Genomic DNA, 21,497 nt, shown 5'->3' on the forward strand with positions numbered 1-21,497 from the left:
CTTCCCTACAGTTTCATAAGTCAGTTTCACATGAGTTTCATCCAAATAACTTAAACAGCAGAAATAAAACCAATAATCTTCAATGCAAAGGCAGAGCAGCCTAGATATTCATGTGCTGGGATACCCGGAAGATTCAAAACTTCTCCCCTAGGAGGGAGAGCATTTGGACCAATGCCTAATGCATGCAGGGCTTAAAACCTAGATGACAGGTTGATAGGAGCAGCAAACCACCATGACACATGTATACCTATGTAAGAAGCCTGCGCGTTCAGCACATGTATCCCAGAACATAAAGTAAAATTTAAAAAAACTTCTCCCTTAGAGTATTTTTAGTAATAGAGCAAAAATGACATCTACATGCAGCCAGATTTCTTGTAAGTCCTGATTATGAACAAAAATGGAAGATGGACATTCATAAGGAAGGTGAGAGGCAGTGCTAAGTTATTTAGTGACTTGCAGAATTTACTAAGAATCAACCCCTAAGAGATTCTTCTCTGTGATGAAAGAAAAAATAATATTATGCAAATGCAGTCATAATAAAAGTTTAAGGGTAATTCCTCTGCAGGTGCTTTGCCTTCATGTTGGAACTCTGCCATAAACAGTGGATGTGGCCTTCTGGGTTTGATCCAATCAGTCTCAAAATCCACAAAGCTTGTGGCTGTACACATATGCTTTTCCACAAAAGAAAATTTCCTACATTTTTCCTTTTTCACCCCTCCCAGAGGTACAAAGCGGAATAGACCAAATGGGTGAGTGATTACATAAGGCAGTTCTTGCCTATTCAGTGGGGAGAAACAAGCCTAAGTGGTTATGCTTGTTTAAACAAGTTTCATGTTTTTAATAATCTATCTGCCATATTTCTGGCCCAAATTGTAAGATGTCTTAAAATAATTTATAAATTGTTTTTGCTGTGAATATTCATCATTTTTTAAATATTGAGAATTTTATTACCACAAAGAATTTTTCTTTCCTTTTAATTGATTTCCGCTCCCTTCTCTACTCAAAACTGCTACTAAATAGGAAAATGGTCTGACATTCAGCTAACTGTGATGCCAGCCTTCTCTGGAATGTTGTGTTGTGTTGGGCTGTGACTTCCATGGAATTCAATTCCTGTTTACCAAGGGCTCCCACTTATTTTATTTTAATATAGTATGTTGAAAAGAGTGGAAAAAAGAAAAGCAATTCAATAGGCTCTTACAATTAGGTTTTGAGTTAGCCTTTGAAAAACAGGACGAGCAAAGAAAGATTTTATTTTTAGGCTTATCTGATAAGTTTCCTTTGTTGTTGTAGTTGTTGAGGGATTACAGGGATTAGTAATCTTAGAAAAATGTTGAGAATGAGGCATATACGGTGTTTTACCCTTGGGTCCTCCCCTGCCTACACTGTGCTGAGAACTGCTCTCTCTGACCGGGTCTCCTGTTTCTACCTGGTTTGTTGTGAACCTGTGTTCTCCACATTTGTCCTGACTCTTCAGGTGAATAACTGAGCCTTTCACTTGGCTTTGCTGCAACCCTTCAGCTCTGTGCGTGGTAAGGAATGCCTGGGTTGCAAATCTCACTAGACCCTGGGGACTCTGTTCCGTTCCAATACCTGGGTTTCCTACTTCAATCTTTTGGCTGGGGTGGGAGGCATGTACAATAACAGCTAATTTCTCAAATATCTATTTACATGTTATTCTAAGATAAGACAGTGGCGAGATATTAAAAAATTTTAGAATCTTTGTAACTAACAGAGTCACAACTGTTGGCTGTCTAATGGAAGGGAAATATGGGGTAGCCTCCATGCACCCTCCTGCTTCCCACCCTACAGTTAGGGATTTCCTGTCAGGCTGCTTTTGGTAGACAGAGCACTGTGCTGCTCGAGGTAAAGTAGATTGGAGCTGAGTGGAAGTTGTCCACCATTCGTATCTGCCTTCAGTGTCTATGTGGAGAGCACAGAACCCCCTCTCCATGTCCTGCAAGGCAGAAGTTACATGTCATCTGGTGAGGTTGACAGGTAGGCAGTTGCAATGATGTGCCTTCCACCCTCATGAGGTGAATGCAGCATGAATGAGTCACTTTTTGAGAGGACCATCAGCAAAAATCAGTCTCCACAATATCAGTGAGAGATTTTAACCAAGTGAAGGGCAGAGATTGAATGAAAATAAACAGGTTCCAGGTCTTTTATTTTATGGCCCCCAGGCTGCATTTCTGAGCCTATACCATAAAGTAAGTTGTGTGTAAGAGGAGTGTGTGCGGAAGAGGGTTGAGGAATGGAAAGCAACTCTAAAACTGAGTTTTACATATTCATCCTAGTAAAAGAAAGAACATTCAGAGGACAGGAAAAAAAATGCCTCCCCATTTTATGCACAGCATTATGATGGCAGCAAAATTCAAGTGTTGTGCATCATACTGGGTGCATTACATCTAGACTTAGACCCAGAATTGTGAAATATGGTGACTTTTAGAGAAGTATTTGTTTTTAAGATGCATGTTATTTAGAAAATGAAGGAAGCCAAATATAATTAGAAAAAAAAAGCAAAGTAAGTAAAATACAGAAGCATAAGGAACAAACCACCCCCCCTCCTTTTTAAGAAAAAGGAAAAAACAGCCTAAGATATGTTACTGTCTCTGACTTGAATGCCCTGGTTTAAGTTCATTTCATCTGGGCACTTTTCCTATTCACATTAAAAATCAGATTGTCTCTGCTAACATTCTTTGAAAAAAGAAAACACACAGAATGTCAAGAGAAAGGACTGAAAAAGACTTAGAAAAAAGAGTAACAAAAGAAAAAGCCCCACAGGATTAGATGACCAGAGCAAACTTTTGTAATTGGTTCCTTTATAAGAAGTTCAAAGGGAAACCTAATACTACCTATTGTAGCACAACATCATTTTTCTTTGGAGAATTTAGTTATCTCCCTTCTACCAAAGCGTTCCTCTGAGCTCACTGTTCTGAATAATGTCTGCCCCACTCTTGCTAATGGTCTAAAATATTTACTTTGCATTAACAATGTGGTTTCACTTGACTGCTTCCAAGTGCAGAGTCATTTTATTTTGAAGTGTTTGCTTTCTTTATTATTATCTGCAAATGTATAACAAAGACAGTTTTGTCTACTTCAATACCTTACAGTTAGCATACTAAATGGAGTCTGCAACACTAGTTACGTGCCCCAAATTCTAGCTCTGAAACAAAGAAAAACAAACACCAGCATCAGTAACATAAATAATGTGAGCAGAAGGTTCATAGATAAAGTGAGACTCATATATATATATATATATATATATATATATATATATATATATGTTACTAATTTCCTAGACAAGAAGAACAAGATATTTGTCAATTACTTTGCCCTGTTTTGGAAAATCTTGGAATGTTTTTCATACCCAGATTCCCTTCCTGAGGGGCTCCCTATGATCACCATGTTCTATCTAATTATCCTGCCATTCTGGCCACAGTTAATGGATTAGGGTGGGCATTGTGAGCCTGGACAGTCAGTTCATAGCTTGGCTAGAGCCCTGGAAGTGACCTAGCATGAAACTCTACTTAACACAGGGCTAGTGATTGGCTGGACAGGTTAAAGACTCTCTTTTTGGGACTTTAAATATGAAACACATAGAGAAAGTCACAGTTTGGGTGATTGGGCAGAATGCAAATGACACCCAGAGAAAAGAGAGTAAGCAGAAGCCATGAGGCAACAAAAACTGTGAAACACCAGAAGCAGTGAGGTGGAGAGAAGGAAAAGAAAAATGGAAAGATATTAGTAGGTAATTATAAGAGCAGAACAAGCAGAGAAGGGTTGAGTCATGAAAATGGCACAGGACTGAAGTAGAGAACCACAAAGACTTGCTGCTGAGGGTTCAAGATAGACTAAAACTGTAAGGATTTTCCCATTTTGGTTCTTTCATGGGGTCTGATTATCGTGTCCCAGAATATCTCTACAATAAACCCTAAAGGTCTGACATAAACCAAATGCTGGTAACCTAAAGGAGTCTACCTAACACAATTTGGCTCCATGATGAATTTTAGGATAATTTTCAAGCATTTTCCATAATAATATGAAATGCACTATGTAATGATTTGGTTACCTACTTAATATTTGCATTTTAAATCACAGTTGACCTCAGAGTAGCAGAATGAATATCCCTCTTCTGAAACCTTCTACACTCATATAATAAATAATGGAAAAAACAATAATAAATATACAATTTAATATAATTAAAATTTATTTATATTTAATTTATATTTAATTTTAAAATATAATATAATAAACAATAATGGAAAAAACAAATGTTTCAATAAAATTACCAAGTTGAGTTCGCTGTCATTATTTAATAAGAATCAGTTATTGTCCTGTTCAGGATCCTACCGCAGTTTAAATCTTGTTGCTGTGGATTTGTTATTGTGAACAACCAGGTACTTTTAGAGCACTGATTTTCAGTGTAATGAAAATTGCTTGAAATAAGAGGGCTGCTTCTGCATGTAGTGTTAGTATTGAGCAGACAGGGTAGGAGTCTTTCATTTAAAGACAAATGTGGAGCACTGCCCTCTTCTGGACAGACTAGGAGGAGCAACAGGGTGTAGATGTGAAAAGTTCTTCTAGTATTTTCTCTCTTTTTTGTCTTTTTTTTCCTTTTTCTGGAGAACGGGGTCTCGCTATATTGCCCAGGCAGGTCTCGAACTCCTGGGCTCAAGCTATCCTTCCGCGTCTTGCCTCCCTGAGAGAGGGAATTACAGGCGTGAGCCACCGCGCCCGGCCGGTTTTTCTAGTATTTTCTAAGTTCACTTTAACAGTATTTAATAAATGTCAACAGGTGTGGATTTACCTGGTGAACCAAATCCCAAGAATGCTATAAATGATCCCTCCTTTGGAAAAACTTACAGATCTGATGGGGAAATGAAATTGTAAATGAAAGGCAACTTCACTGGCTAATACAATAAAGAATCAAATTAAACAAAATTTACTAGTATTATCATAACTTTGGGAAACTGTATTACTTCCACTTTTGTGAAACATTTTTGCTTTCTTTAGATGTAGACTGGAACTATGTACAAAATAAGCTGGTCAACAGCAAATCGTTGGAAGATCAACAGGCACAAAACACGATAAAATTGAATCTCACAAACTGATTAAAACATTAAACTAAAATGCAGACTTACATTGCTCTGCTTTCATAATAAAGGTAGGTTAAGTAAGGTTAATCATGGGTTCCCTTACCTTTACAAAGTTGCTTTGTCATTTTTGCTTACTTATCTTAACATTACAACTCTTGCTTCACATAATGCAAACTAATTATCTCCCTTTGGCACAGAAAGATCTAATGAACATTTCAGAACGTCAACTTGGTTAATTTAAAGCCTATGAGACCCACTGGCAGGCTTTAAGTCTAAGCCCCCAGCTACATCTTTCACTGGGTGGTAGCTTAAGGGCCAGTCTGCCATTTATCCTTGCATATCACCACCTTGGGCTTCCACGGAAGAAAGTATAAATTATTGGCGGGTGATATTCTGGAGTTCTTGGCCACAGTGTCATTTAACAGCACTTCTAACAGCAGTCAAATAGAGACAGTAGATTTATAGTCATTGGAGGGATTGAGAAAGCGAACATAGATTTGGTTGCAGAAGTTGAAGAAATTTGTAGGAAAAAAGAGGTAGTGGTTGTATTTAACAAATTTCACAGTATTTAACAAAAAGTCTTTATTTCAGAAGAAAAGTTTGCACACTGAAAATTGTGCTCTTCAGCCTATTTTGTGTCTTCAGTGGCAAGAAGTTGACACCACTCTAGCAAGAAAAACACGTGGCTTCATTTGCCACCTCTTCCTTCCACCAGACAGCTAGAGTTGCACTGAGTGGCCAGAATAATTCCAGCGTGAGAGAGCAGGTAGGATAGGGTCAAACGTGAGGCCACCAAAATTTAAAACGGCAATAGAAATGTAAGTAACAATCAGGTTGGCTCGGCTCATGCCTTCTGTACTGGTTGTCAGATTATTGCCTCTCAGCTTAAAACCTGCTGTTCAATGCCCTACTTGTAACGCTAGAGCTCCATCATGCAGACATTTCTCCTTGGCCAGAAGAAGGTGCTGCAGGGACACTGCAGGAAGAAGGGGCTTTTCTTCTGTCTCTAGCGTGCCTTTTGTTGGCTTGCTCCTGCTGTGAATTGTGACTGGCAGGGCATAGAATACCCAGTGGCCTTTCCTTCCTAACTTGCTACTTCCAGCTTATAGTTTTCTTACTGTCCCCATCAGCCCACTTACACCCTAATGTGAGTTTCCTGATTGCAAGGTTTAGCCCATTGTTCCCTGCCGGCAGTCTGAGTCTAGCAACACAGCAGCCTTCTCCACTATCCATAGTCTGTAATCATACCTTCCCCAACAAGATTTGAATCCCAGCCTTAAGAAGTGGAACTCTGTCTAAAAAGGATTCCTCCTTTGGGTACTCAACTCTCACCCATAAATTCTGTAGTGCGTTTTTTTTTTCCCCTTTCTCAGTAGCTAATCCCCTATAAATAGCTAATAATGTTTTATATTCAACCTTTCATTTTGAAATGATTGTGTGATTCCTGTCTCCTGACTGAAACCTCTCTGGCTCGCCTTCCAAGCTGTGGGACTCCCCTCTGAAAATGTCTAATAAAATCAGATTTGGACATCCTTGTTGAAGTGTCAAATCAGTGCTTCAAATCTGTATTGGAGATTGGAAATCTATAGCCCTCATGCTGTCTCCATTCTAAAGCAGCTCAGGAGTTTTGGCTTGAAATATTTTCATTCGTCCTATAGATTCAGTCATAGCAGTCTTGTGCATTCAGATCAGAAGCAGAAGAAAAAAAAATATGACTAGTATGATTTGCTGAAATTTTTCTGTGTACACTCAACTCTAATCTCAAATGGAACATTTTATTGAAATAAAAATGATTCACCCACTGGGAAAAAAATTCCCCCTGCTATTCTGTTTTCTCTCTGGATTATGTGCCTAAATCTTTTGTCCTAGAGTTTATGCTTACAAAATTCACCACTTAGATTTACTTCCCTGCTTTAGGCACCCTCATTCATATTGCTTCCTATGATCATTTCCTTGATTTTTTATTACTCATCCCCCAAAATCATTGCTCACATTATTTAATTAAGGTAAAATTTCAATTTATACTATAAAAGAAAAGTTCTCTTCTTTTGCTTTCCAGAATTTCCAACAAGTACAGTATATTAGATGCTGATTTTTTAAACCTAAAAATCGGGGTTTCAAGTTTTTTAAGTCTTTTTATGCTGTATTTAAAAATCCCTTCTTACTGTGACAACAAAGTAATGTGATATTTACACTGAAAAATGATAAATTCCCCCACGTCCCTCAGAGTAATCATCATATTGACATGGACCTGAGAGCAAAAAGCTTCTCAACTTTGACAAACATAATTTGTGCAAGGCCGAGCAGTTATAAACATTGTCAGTAACTAGAAGGTATGGATGGATGCTCTGCAGGAGGCTTTGGAAGCTACATTCACCACACTCAGCTATTTATGATTATAATTCAATGTGCAGATGATAGCTAGTGAAAATAACACCTGAAATTCAGAAGAATGACAGCTGAAAGAGGTCTCTTCTGACAAATATGGAAACCAAAGTTTGGACAGCTTAAGCAACTTGCTTGGAGTCACACAGTGGGAATGTGGATCAGCAGGATGTGGACTCTTCCTTTTTAATCTCCACTACATTGGACATGGTTAGGCCAGTGCTCATCTACTGGTGAGGATCACAGCTCCTTGTGTCCAAACTACTTTCAAAAGGCAACATTATTATAATTATTGTCAAGCCTAGCCTTTATAATCATCTTGATTTAAATGATCAAGTTTATCTCTAATTAGCTTCTCCTAATAACGAAACTATTTTATCATAAATGTGTTTGGAAACCCTAAAATATATTTTGTATAACTAAGGAGGTTTTTTGGCTCTTTGACCAGAGACAGGTGCAATTGCACTTTCTACTTTCCCTTATAATAAACAGAAAGACATATAGGTCTGTAAGTAACAGTTGAATTATCTAATATTTCATTATTACAACTAAAATCAGCTATGGTAATTCTACTGAATATTACACATTTTCATTTAGACCAACTGCAAAATTTTTCTCAGAACAGTTACCATAGTAGAAAAATATCTTTAAAGATATATTTTAAACAATTAGTTTGTGGAAAAAACACTAGAATAAGGTCAAAAGAATTAAATTCTAAGCTGGCTTTTCTTACTATGTGTCCATGGTGATAGCAGATAAGTCTCAATTATTCTATCAGTAAAATGGGGCTAATGATAGATGATAGATGTTCTTTTTATTTCACAAGGTTCTTATAAGGGAAATACAGGTAATAGGTAGGAGTTACTTTGAACTTTTATAAAGAAAATATCAATGCTATTAAAGTTTTTCAATACCATGTTATAATGCTGTTGACTTACAAATGTTCAAAATAAATTAGTATGTCTTATTTAATATTTGTAGTTGTACTTTGAAGTAACTACTACAAAAAGTTAAGTTGTATATTATAAAATTCTGTTTTAAAAATGGATGAATTTTAATGTTGTAGGAATGAGACTTTATAATTAACTTGGCATCTTTTTTTTATATAAAATGCAAGGTCAACTAAAGATTTTTGCCTTCAATGATTTGGCCATTATCATGGGATTTCTTTTCAGACCACTAGATGGCGCAACTTAAGTCTACTACTTGTTAAAAGACATTGTCAGAGGCCTAATGACAGACCGACCTCCTCTTTGAAGAAAAAAACTAGTGAGGGAAACAAGAGAGGGGAATGTTATGAATACCTGAAGTTACACAGTCCTTCTCTCGCAAAGGCAGAGGCGTGCTGAGTGCAGTGTAAGTTCAGGAAACCTGTTCCTACATGTAGTCTTTTTACTAACTCAGAGGGAGGGATCACTTCTCCTGTCTGGGCATAGGTTTCTTCATCTAGTCAATTCTCTTCAAATGCATTCCTTCTCTCTCTTTCCTTCCCTGGAGACAGGACAGAGATCATGAGTTTTATGGGTGCCATGGTCTCTAGGTGCTCAGTACTTGAGACGGATGATGATGGTGTTCGGTAGAAGTGTGTGGTCTGAGAGGGGAGCCAAACAAATTTTACAGCCATTAGGTTCTATTCTTGACTCTGCCATGCTCTGGGAGCAGCATGTGACTACAGTAAACTTCTTCTGAACTTGGCCTAGTTCTCTGTAAAACTGACTGTATCATTTGACATCTGCCTCCTCTGAGGAGAGTTTACAAGGATTAATAAGATAATGCTGCCACAGGCCCGACGTTTGGATGAAAGCTGCTAATTTTTAACAAAGCTTCAGTGGGCAGGTCCATAACTAAAGTCTGACCTTTCATCTTTGTCAAAGTGCTCCTGAAATGGGTGACATTAGTGCTACAAGTAAAGGAACATTTTGTTGGAGAAGTAAAAATGATCAAGAGGAAGGAAATCAGGCCTTTGAAGGAAGGTGCAAAGAGCAGGGACAGTTGTCTTACACTAGAGAAGGGTGAAGGTGATGAATATTCTCCTCATTGACAAGAAAGAATCTTGCATAGGAGTGGAAGTGGATCTTTTTCCTGTTCACTGAGGACAGAAGACACAGGAAGGAATTCATCAGAATGGTTGATAAGACATGAAAATCTTAGAGAAGGGATATTTGGAAAGCAGATGTTGTACATTTTTCTAATAGGGGAGAATCAAGCAGACTTGTTTCTAACTTGGTGAAAATTGTGTACCATTAGGAGGTCAAATTTCGTTAGAATCTTCTTTACTCTTTTAAAGACAGAATATGGTTTCTGAATATAATTTCTAAATGGGGAACATTCTGGGTTTTTTTCATGGGTCTTTTCCTGCTGAGATATGAATTCATTTTCTTTCCTATGCTCTCCATAGAACATTTCTTACTCGATTCCTCTTCAACCTTTTCTTTTTTAATCTGGAGCATTGAAAGAACTCTTGTTCTATTTCCACATATTGAAGACTTCATTGTAAGGTAAAGCGAGTAGTTCCTCATGGAAGGGACTCGAGGAGCCCTTAAATGCATTGGGCAAGGTGAGGAGCATTCGCAGGCTACCTCCTGCAGAAGAAAAGCAACTTCCTAAGGGGCCTGAACAAAAGTCTGCTTTGATTCCTTCTTTCTCCTTCCTCCCCTCTTCCCTTCCTCTTTTCTTTTCTTTCAACTAATTTTTATTGAGTAAATACCCAGTAAGAAGTCCTACATTAGGCCCCACATAAATATGTACTTCCTATTGGCATATTTAATTTGGCTTTCAGCTCTGTAATTTTCCTGTGGCTAATAGAGAATGGAGAATATCCTGGTCGAGGACCACAGGTAACAAGAAAGTTTTACATGAGACTTCTTAGCCACCTCTGGGAAGGATTCATATGGGATATTTGTTAGCAGCTATTTTGAAGTTAATCATAATAATTTTTAAAAGTTACCATTTTTATTTTCTACTAGAGAAGCTTTGTTCCCTTATGTTCTTCTGATTAAAATGAATATGTGGAATTATCTCTTCTGAGTCTCTTCAGAAGCTTTTCAGTGATTTGGATGTTGCCCTCAGCGCTAATAATAGACAGTAAGAAAAAACTGGAGAATCCTCCCATGTCACTGCACTATTCTAACTGGATGAGCCAATATTCTCTGGGCCAAGGGCATTTACGGTATTGAGCATATTTCAGATAATCTCTGACCCTACATCGTGTGACAGAATGTAATTCCAGCTTCTCAGCAATGAGGTTGTATATGCCTCTACTTCCAGTTGGTTACTGCTCTTTTTTCAACAGATATTTTTTGTTCTGTTAATCATCTTCTTAAAAAAATAAGTGAATACATTAATAAATGGCAAAAGATACATATACAAACATATCCAGAGGAATGAAATTTTTTGCTAGTTATGCTAACATATCTTTAGAATGAAGTCTCCAAATTGCCCTTGAAATTATTCTTCAAATGTTCAAAGCCTAATAAACAACCTTAAATACAGGAGTCAGGTTTTATTTTCCACATTATATAAGTTTTCAGATTATTGGTCAATGCTCTACCGCCTTATTAATTTGCAAGACAAAGTCTTAAATCTTTCTTTCTTTTTTTTTTTTTTTGAAACAGGGTCTTGCTCTGTCACCCAGGCTGGAGTGCAGTTGCATGATCTTGACTCACTGTAACCTTCACCTCCCAGCCTCAAGCCATCCACCCCTCTCAGCTTTCTGAGTTGTTGGGACTACAGCTGTGCCACCACGCCCGGCTAATTTTTGTATTTTTTTGTAGAGGTGGGATTTCACCATGTTGGCCAGGCTGGTCTCGATCTCTCCATCTCCTGAGCTCAAGTGATTTGCCCACACTAAGCTAATGGGATGAATTTTGGCAAAGATCAAGAGGGAGTCATTCTCAAACCAATCTATCCTCATTATAGAGAGACTGTGTCTTACTAATCAAAAAGCCTAGGGGGCTACCAACTAGAAATGCAACAAAACACAACCATCTACATTTATATATTACAAGTATTTACTTTCCATTAAAACAGCTGGTATTCTTGTAGTATTGCCTATAGAATTAGTTTCATTAAAAAATGTTTTATTTTATTTTTCAAACTACTGTTTTGGGATCTTACTTATATTCTGACAATATAAAAAGGGACTTTTTTCCCCAGCCTGGTTAGTGGTATGATAAACTCATTGTGCTAAGGTTGGAAGATACTCGAATAACAGTTTCAACCACATTATTCACTAGCCATGAAATAATACCAGTAATAATATGAGTAAATGGAAAAATCTTTCATTTGGATTGTATTTTTAATGTAGAATTTTTCCCCACATATACTATTATTTACTGTTCATCATATTATTTCTGGAACTTAATTTTCTTATCTGGAAAATGGGGATAGTAACTCCAATTCTGCCTATTTCAGAGGGTTACTGTGACAGTGAAAGACAAAGAGTATGTAAAACTGCATTTAGGCTCAGAAAGCATGATGGTATAGAATGACAGCCATTCATGCACAGAGTCAGTTTGGTCATGTATAACAATATTAAGGACTAGGAGAGAAAAAAAAATGAGACTGACTTAATTGATCAGTTTTGTAAACCTGGAGACACGCGTATCTTCTGAGTCTCCCACAAATTAACAACACTACATTAATAACCATAGGCCAAGATTTTTAAAGGCTGGCTAAAGATGCATTTTCCGGTTTAATTTCTAATAAAAGTGAGCTAATCCTGGATGATTCCAAGTTGTCTCCTACATATCAGGGCTATGAAAGTTCTTAGAACAAATATATTTACAGGAAGTTCTGTTTTTCTCTTGGGAAAACAATACTCTGGGAATGACTAAACAATATTCTTTGATACTACCAAAAACCATCTCCCTCCATGTGCTGAAAATTATCGTAAAGAAACTGGTTTGGGGCATGCATGTTTTAAGGTTGCCCTATTACACTCCCCTTCTGTTTACCTTCTGAAAATGCTTTTTCCACTGTGAGACATATACTCTACACACTCCTGTAGTCAGGAAAATCTATAGTTGCTTAAATGCATCTTTCAGTTCACAGTAGCTTTATCTCTGTGCTGAAATAAAATGCTTTTCAATCAGAATCTCCTTTCTCAGCACCTAACAATGAATGCAGATGGAACCTGTCCAATCTGAACAGAAAACCACCATACTCAAAAAGAATCAGAGATTTTTCAAAACATATTGACAGAGATAAAAACATAGTTACCTGGGCAATTATGTCTATAATTTCTGAATAACTATGGCATCTTCCCACGCAGGATCGAGCCAAAAAGTCTTCCACAAGCCGCGTTCCAATGCCGTAACCCCTGTGGATGACGGAAAGAGTGTGGTCTGAAAATTCTAAGAAATTAGTGAAGTCTGTCAGTTTTTAAGAAGCGATTTGTGTGTTTAGCACTTGTGCAAGTGAATCACAAATCAAACCAAATATGACGAGTCAAATGGCTTTTGGCTGTGGGCTTCTTATTCGCCCCACAGACCACAAAGCAGAGAGCAACACACTGAGGAAATATTAACTGGTCTCCTGCAAGCAGAAGAGTCTGCCTAGAATCAAGACTTGCCCAAAGTTGACAATATAAATTAAAATTAAGGAAGGCTGGTTTCTGTAGCCTAATGTTTCTCAGTGGCAGCTAATTTTCTCATCATTAGCTATTGATGGAAATCAAATGAGATCCTAGCTAAAGCGTCTGCTACATGTGTGATACCCGGATGCTCGCTCTTCTCTTAGCATTGTTATCAGGGTAGAAGGGCAGGCATTTCCAGGATGGGCTCTGGAAGGAGGGGAAGAAGAGAGCAGAAAAAATTTTTGTTGCCAGTGAGAGTTTCGGCATCTTCAGACTCTGAAGTTTACTAAGTGAAAAACAGCCAAGTTCAGAAAACTCATTTTTCATTCCAGGGAAACAAACTATGGGATTGGGGGAAGGTATTGTATTATCTCCACCCCGAGAAAATAGCTCTAGTAGTGCCTGAAGTACAATCTTGAAAACCTTCGATTGAGATGTGATTATACACACACTGAATATGTAGCTAAGTTGGCTGAGCACACACTTTCAACAAGATAAACTGAAAAACGACTAGATTTCCCAGAAGGATACAAAGAAAGGTCAGAATCTCTATCTTATAAGAACTTGCAATCTAGCTGAGAAAATGTGACCTTCAAGGTGGAAATCAAACGGAACACTATTTTTGCCAAACCTCTATCAAAATTGGTCTTTTAATTTCACAGCCACATCTACATAGACAAGTGAAACGATTTCCAGTGGAGCCACAAAATGCCCAACAAGACACCACAGTGTTCAGAGGCAATGATTACTCCAGAGGCTCTAAAAAGAGATGAAATCTTTGGTGACTAGGTGGTTGGAGGGAGACGGATTTGATGTGAGAGTGCTTATGAATTCAATGAATCTTGTGAGATATCCTATTTATATTTCTGAGTGGATAGAAATATTCAGTTTAGCTTCCTTGACTTTGGAGAAAAATGGTTTATAATTTCAGCCAAGAAGCTCTCACTGCAAAGACTTTTAACAATCAAAATGTCTACTTTACAGAAATAGTTGTATCAGGATTAAAAAATATTTCCAGTGTTTTCTAATTCTCACTTTGCATATCCACAGCTCAGCAACTGGGAACAGTGGTCAGAAGCCAAAACGTTATGAGCTGTGCTATATCTACACATATTGCTTTGGTCAAAGGGTATGTTTCTGCAAAGTAGATATTTTATAAATTAAAAATGTAAGAGGCTCTCAGCAGAAGCTATTAAGGAAATCTAAATGTGAATTTTTTTCTTAAGGAAAGATCTTTCTGCAGCTTCTCAAAAATTTATTCTTTAATATTTCTTTCATATTTGTTAAATGTGTACTCAATTAGCTAACCAAAGGTATTTTTGTAGTCAAATAAGTGAGCTTTTTTATTATTCACAGCTTTTTCACAAAACAATGCAAGTTTAACATAAGTCAAATAAAATGAAGTAATTTCTGGAAATGCTATGTCAGATGTTTAAGTGTGAGCTAGCGTAAAATAACCTTAACATTCCTCACAGCTATAGACAGACAGTTCAGCTAACAAAGTGACTGAAAAATCTATAGGTAGACAGTTGGGCAGTTCTCTTCTTTGCGAATGCCCTTGACTAATTAAGTAGAAATTCCAAAAAAAAGTCATGTGTACAAAAATAAATTATAATTTTTTTAAAAGAAAAAAATATGCATACAGAAAGAAGAAAAATGAGAGTTTTTTAAAAAGACTTTCAATCTTTATGTTGTCTTTTTCTGTATTTCAACTGAAAATACAATGAACCCTTTTAAAAAGCTCTAAAATGTTAGGCTAAATTTCCCCTTCAATCTGCCTAGATAAATCTTCTAACCAGTACACATTTTCCAGTCTTTCCTCTGTTAGAGTCCTCTTCAGAGTTTATAATTAAAAAGCTCAAAAACCATTGACAGATGTTTTATTGTTTGGCAATCATCTGATGATCACATAGTTACTCAGAGAAAATCAAAAGGTGGAATTTGTGCAGGAGGAATCTCCAACAATAAAGACAAAGAGAATGGGTCTCATTTAAAAAGGAAGAAGTGAGTTTTTCTACCTAATATGTTTTTTAAGAAAAGCATAGTAATGATTAAAAAACATTCAAACAATAAAAATGCTATCTTAAAATAAACTCTCCCTTTAATTCACAATTCCTATTTTCTCCATCTTCCCCTTAGGAAACTACCATTGTGAGTTTCTTGTATATCTTTCAATAGATGGTCTGTGGTTGTGTAAGCATATATTTATATTGGAAGCAGTTGTGTTAGAACAAAAGACTTCTGAAAAGAATAAAATTTGATGTTCCCTCATGTTGTTAATAGAATAATTTCAATTTTACCACATCTTTTGCTTATAAGCGACTCTTAAGTCACTTAAGAAATGATTTCTAACTAAAGAGAAAACATCCCACACTTGATATTTGTAGGAAAAAAATCCTTCCTATTATCTTATTCTATCAACCCAAATGGCACTTGTAAGAAATTATGTTCAGCTTTCAGATGTGATTAATTGAGACAGAAGAACAGCTGGTGAAATGAAGCAAAGGAAGTCATTAGAGGCAGAAAGAATGCAGGTGATGTAAGAAACAACAGCCATTCAATAAGAATGAAGGACTTCCACTTACATTTTATCTAAATATTGGTTCACATCTTCATCCTTCTCATAATCCTTACACAGCTGGGCAACCAGAGCTCCATAGGTAAGGACAAAGAGATCTTTATTCTGGAGAAAAAGGGGTAGTTTCTGGTTATAGGCAAGTTATGACAGTATACTACTGTATTTCTTTTGTTTATAAAATCTGGTTTGAAGTAGCCTTAGAAGTCACCTGTACATTTTTTCCTTCCTCCTATTATTGCAACAATTTGCACTTTTGAAAACAAATTATATTCACATTTGGATACATTGATGTGAGGTGGGGGAGAGAGAGCTGTTAAATAAAATGAATTTCGTAACATGATAACATCTTTCTATGCATTTGCTTACATGATAACTTGCAATGTATTTTCATGGAGGACAGTTTTTTAAAAATACTAATTTCTAACATAAATTTCTGTTTTTCTAAAATATATGCCATCCATGTTTTCAGTTGGAAGCAAGAATTGGATAAGACTTCTCAGGCGTCTGCACAATCCCTAATGGCCCCCAGATCTGCCAAGGAGACCTTCAGGATAAACCCAAATGTAGCAGCAAATTTGTGAGTTTCTTTTCTTTTTACTTAGAGAAAAAAGGGGAATGTGATATTTCCTTATAGTTCTCCAAAATATGTCCCATTTTTAGAGTAAATTATAAATGAAAACTAAAACTTAAGACAATTTAGGTTTGGCTTAGGGTTTTTCCAAGAACCTAATAATAAATCACAAGAAATGCTGGTAAATTATCAATGAAAAGTCTGCTCAACATATAAGAGCCACAGCAGAAGACAAAGTGCTGCCATGTACTAATGCTACAGCATAAAGATAAGCAAAGGTGAAGAAGAGAGAGAGAGAGAGAGAGAGAGAGAGAGAATGATGAGATTGTTGTGACTAGCAGTAAAACAAAAGAATTTGAAAAAGAGAAAAGTAGAAAAAATCATACCCTACCTACATGCCATGGCCCCAACATTGTGTCCCTTTATAATTAAGGCCAAACTGAAATAGTGGAATTTCTTCTCTGTCCCTGATGGGTGGGCACTATTATATATTGAAATCTATTTTATTTCCAGCTGAGTTTCTGGTTCAGTACCCATAAAGGCCAGCTTTCTCTATTCTGCTTCATGGCCAAGGACTGTACCTTGAACTATCTGTTCAATTGGGTCTCAAATCCATACCACAGATGCCAGGAAAGGTCAACATAAGTTTATCTTTATCGTTTTTAAAACAATAAAAATAATCATATGAATATCTGAAAGAACATCATTAACTATTTCAGTAGGTTATGAATGTATCAGGATAAAAATACATTTTAACTGCTTTATAAAATCAAGTGATTTCGGTATAATATGAACTATGTACCATATATTTTTAGCACTTGAGAGTCCCACAGGAAAATAAATCAAGATCCCAGAAGGCCAGAGGAGGTATCTGCAGGCATTTCAAACTGAAGTATGCTAGTTAGTCACTACAATTCTAAACACCAAGTCTGAAATTACTTAATTATATCAAATGCCCATCAGTCTCCTGACATAATTAACAGAATTTTAAAGTTAACAGTGAGTTTTTGTATCTGTAGTATCTGAGTGACTAAAACTATAAGAGAGTATTAAAGAATATTATTTAAAACTAATCTGCAAAAAAATAAGGTTTATAAATAACTCTTAACCTGGAATATATAGAAAGGATGATATTACATACCAAGCTACAATAAGACTAGGAAACATTTTTAAAGGCAATCCTTTTTTGATGACCTATTTCGATTCAGTTTTACACATAATCAACTATATATATACACACATATATATATACATACATACATATATATACATATACATATATATGTAAGTTCCCATTTCCTGAAGTATGAAATAGAAAAAATTGCTAATATTTTCATATTTTCTGTCAGAGGTGAAAAAATTGACACTCATATTGATATAATTAGTCAGAAAAGAAGACCTTAAAGTGTGTATAAAGAATTGATTATTCTTTATGTAGGAGATAATCATAATTATTCCTAGATGTGTCATTTATGATTCACTTCGCTGAACACTGTCTTTCCTCCACTAAAAATTCTTATAGCATCAGTTTTTAAAATCAATCAGAAATCACTCAAGAAAACATTTTCTCTGAAGTAGAAAAAATCTCTTTGTAGAAAGATCTTACTATTTTATGGTATTCTGGTCTTCGGTGTGCAGGGCGAGACATAGTGCTTGATAGATGAAGAATATGATCTTCAATTTCTCTTCTTTTGCCTGTTTCTTAGAGGTGTATCAGTCCATGTCTTTTTGTTTTGTTTTTGTAAGCTCTTCCTCGCTTTGAGACAGGAGTGCTGCTTCTGCACTCTGCTGCTTTTGCTCTTTGCTGAGCTGAAGAGGGAAAAAAACCATGAACAACAGGATTGTCTTATAGCCACGTAACTTGCCATGGATCAAATAACTGCTTCATTTGTAAGGATGAATTGTAATCTAGAGCCATAAAAGCTGATAATGTGAAGTCAGACCTGAAGCACTGCAACTCAAAAAATTCTTTAGCCCGAGGGAGTTCAAGAGTGGTGTTTTGTTCTCAGGCCAAGACATTGTTTTAAAATCAGAAACAGAAACCTTCGCAATCCAAGATAGATCTAAATGTTAGCATTATTCAGTCTTGGATTGATTGTTGTAAGAATTAGAGAGACAAGATCAGCAATCTGTAGGTAATAAATCCTGAGTTAAAACGTGATCCCTCAACTACACCAATGGTTATCACACTGTCCCCAAAACCATAGATCCCTATCTTGTGTGATTACAGTATTCAAATATATCTGGTAACTTTTTTGCTTTTCATTAGCAGCAATCAACAACATTAAGGAGTGATAGAATGGGCAATATTTTCTTACAAAACTGTTGTTCAAAATGGGCGCTCTACAGTATCATAATGTATAATGATTCTGATAGAGAAAGTAAGCCCTTAGCTTTCTTTTGAGAGCTCCTGAGACGTAAGCTATTGAAGGCTCTCTTTATTTACGCAGAAATACTTAAAGTTCAAATAAAAAAATCCTTTCACCTTGACAACTGCAGGGTGCAGAGTAGGATCAAAATCTTTCCAGAAATGGAAGCGGAAAACTCAGTTTAGGAAAGTAATTTTCTTCTACTTATAGTTTGAGTCCATTAGTCCTATTTGTTCTGGAAAATTCTTGCTATAAAGTGACAAACTCAAGAATACTTTGACGAAAAGTGTGGTGTAGTTGAAAGAACCTAGGAGGATTTGGAAGGCTCAGGCTGTTGCAGCCCTACCATTTACTGGCTGTGTGGCATTGGGCAAGCCATTTTATTGCTCTATGACTCAGTTTCCACATTTGCAAAATGGCAACAATATCACTCACCTCACAGAATAATTGTGAGAACCAAAGAGACGAGGCGTACCGTAAAACACATTAAAATGCACCATATAATAACTAGTTACTATAGGTTATTCTTGTGGTTGGATAAATTGAATGGAATTCTACAATACCTAAGGCATTTCCATCACTGCATATGTTCTATGACACTATGATCTCAGGAAAATTAATTTCACTTAGTTGTGGGGTATGGGGTGGAGAGTTTTTCAGTAGCAAATAATAACGACTTATATGTATATCAAATTTACAGTTTACAACATGGTTTTCGTTCTCTTCATCTCATTTTAATTCAGATACAATCTGTGAAATAGTACTGTAATCATGGCCATTTTACAGGATAAGAATCTAAAAGTAGAGAGGTTGAGAAATGTATTCAAGGTTATCTGGATGTTGGCAACAAGAAGGGATTTGGGCTAATTTTGATGATTCCAAGTCAAATTTATTTTGTACCGCACACACTCTAATTATGTTAGAGCAAACTATTTTAGAGGCAGACTCAAAAAGCTTACTAAGGTGCAGGGACAGCATGTTGCTGGGTCAATTTGTGGGCAATCCTAGTTCTGAGTAAGATACCCCAGAGAATAACCTACAAAGGGCCTGTGTGCTTGCTGCGAGGTGATGGCGGTACTGGAATCAATTTCACCAAACTCTAATGGCTGTGGTATGGTCACATTATGGCCATCGGGAGAATTCGGGATGTCATTGGATGTATTAGAAAAAGCCGGCTTTTACTTCAGACTGACATGGCTCCCCTCTGCTCCATTGACCTTCCAGTCAAGACACGAGCTTAAGGAAGGAGCAGAGCCCCTGCCAGGTGCTACTGTACAAAGCACAACCTTCACGACCACAGCTGTACTCATCATCACAGGGGACACTGGTTTGCTGGTTTTCAGTCTATGAAACCTGCTAGTCTTCAGCAGCTCTTAGGATGCAAGTGAGCCCTGTGTTCCCCAGACTCCTTTTTTAATGTAAATGTACTCCTCCCTTAAATAGAAGAAAGCACAGAGATGATGTTTCAAGCGGGTACATGATCTATAATGTCTGCCCTGGCAGCCAACTAGGAAAGAATTATTCCAAGATAATGCATAAGCAAAGTTTTTCCTGTTTTACTAAGAGTTCTTTAGTCTTGTTAGGACTAAATCTGGAACTGGGGTTAGGAGAAAGACACATTCTTCAGTCTGGTAAAACTGCACTGCAGTCAACCAACCCAAGTAAATGGTGAATTGAGCTATGCCCCTATGCTGGTCCTTTGGGAATACATGGGCAGCAGAGTAGACACTTGGGAAGGTGCTAATAGAGGATGACATCCGCTGATCTGTCGGTTGTATGATCACCCGCAAACTATCAGAGAAGGCAAAGGTCTGAATGTCCCTAAAATTTATGTGTTTAAACTTAATGCCCATTGTGGTAGTTTTAAGAGTTGGGGCCTTTGGGGAAGCGATTAGGTCATGAAGGCTCTGCCCTTATGAATGAATTAGCACCTTATAAAAGGGCTGGAAGGAAATAGCTTAGACTTTTGTTGCTCTTCTGCTATGTGAGGATATAGCAACAAGGTGCCATCTTGGAAGCAGAGAAGAGCCCTTGCCAAAAAACAATGCCAGCACCTTGATCTTGTACTTCCCAACCTCCAGAACTGTAAAAAATAAATTTCTGGTGTTTATACTAGTCTGAAGTATTATAGCATCACAAAAGAACTAAGAAAATTGATTACTCATAAATGTAATCATTCACAGTCATTAGCAAGTTACACATTGGCACTGCAGATGAAGTGATTAGTTCTTTCAACAGTAAGCAATAGTAAAACTTGGGAATTTATCATCTACAAACTCCTTTACAGCAAGAATTTTACAATCCAATAATGTTTTCTAATCAATCTATGCTCCATCCTTTACTACATACTTCCCTGAAAGAATGGTCTACAATTTCCTTCCCCACTTCCTCACTCCCCTTATACAGATGCTCCTCAACTTGTGATAGGGTTATATCCCGACAAACCATTCAGAAGTCAGAGTGCATTTAATATACCTCATGTACCGAGCAGCATAGCTTAAGCTAGCCTACCTTAACATGCTCAGAACACTTACATTAGCCTACAGTTGAGCAAAATCATCTAACAGAAAGCCTATTTCATAATAAAGTATTGAATATCTCATGTAATTTATTGAATACTGCACTGACAATAAAAAACAGAATGGTTGTGTGCATGTTTGATGTAGGGTTTCTCCTGAATGTGTATTGCCTTCACACAATTGTAAGGTGGGGACCATCTGTACTTTAATTAAGTTCATTTTTAAATATAAAATTTTAAACATAAGAAGGCCAGGCATGGTGGTTCACGTCTGTAATCCCAACACTTTGGGAGACCGAGGTCGGTGGATCACCTGAGGTCAGGAGTTCGAGACCACCCTGGCCAACATGGCAAAACCCCATCTCTACTAAAAATACAAAAAAATTAGCCAGGTGTGGTGGAGGG

The 21,497-nt window shown here is 36.9% G+C and overlaps 2 protein-coding genes across 13 annotated transcripts in view; one reads left to right on the plus strand and one right to left on the minus strand.

The window, feature by feature from the left end:
- TRAPPC3L (trafficking protein particle complex subunit 3L) overlaps nt 1–18,023 on the minus strand; it is a 50,696-nt gene extending 32,673 nt beyond the window's left edge. The window contains exons 1-3 of the mRNA NM_001139444.3: nt 17,812–18,023; nt 15,642–15,739; nt 12,702–12,801 (exon numbers count right to left, since the gene is read on the minus strand). Of these exons, the coding sequence (NP_001132916.1) occupies nt 12,702–12,801; nt 15,642–15,739; nt 17,812–17,853 (240 nt within the window). The 5' untranslated portion in view covers nt 17,854–18,023. The remainder of the gene's footprint in view (nt 1–12,701; nt 12,802–15,641; nt 15,740–17,811) is intronic.
- CALHM4 (calcium homeostasis modulator family member 4) overlaps nt 1,382–21,497 on the plus strand; it is a 32,085-nt gene continuing 11,969 nt past the window's right edge. For 4 of the 12 annotated variants that reach the window (NM_001256887.3, XM_011535561.3, NM_001256888.3 and 1 more), the window contains exons 1-2: nt 1,382–1,529; nt 16,104–16,211. Coding sequence is in view for 9 of the 12 variants with exons in the window: in XM_011535561.3 (XP_011533863.1) it covers nt 16,153–16,211 (59 nt within the window). In the remaining 3 variants the exon portion in view is untranslated. Of the gene's footprint in view, nt 1,530–5,013; nt 5,165–8,656; nt 8,838–14,106; nt 14,186–15,498; nt 15,717–16,103; nt 16,212–21,497 lie in introns of those variants that run through there. The other 8 variants (XM_017010390.2, XM_017010391.2, XM_011535563.3 and 5 more) reach the window with 6 other exon arrangements.

This window comes from Homo sapiens, chromosome 6 (assembly GCF_000001405.40).
Source record: "Homo sapiens chromosome 6, GRCh38.p14 Primary Assembly".
NCBI classification, from domain to species: domain Eukaryota; kingdom Metazoa; phylum Chordata; class Mammalia; order Primates; family Hominidae; genus Homo; species Homo sapiens.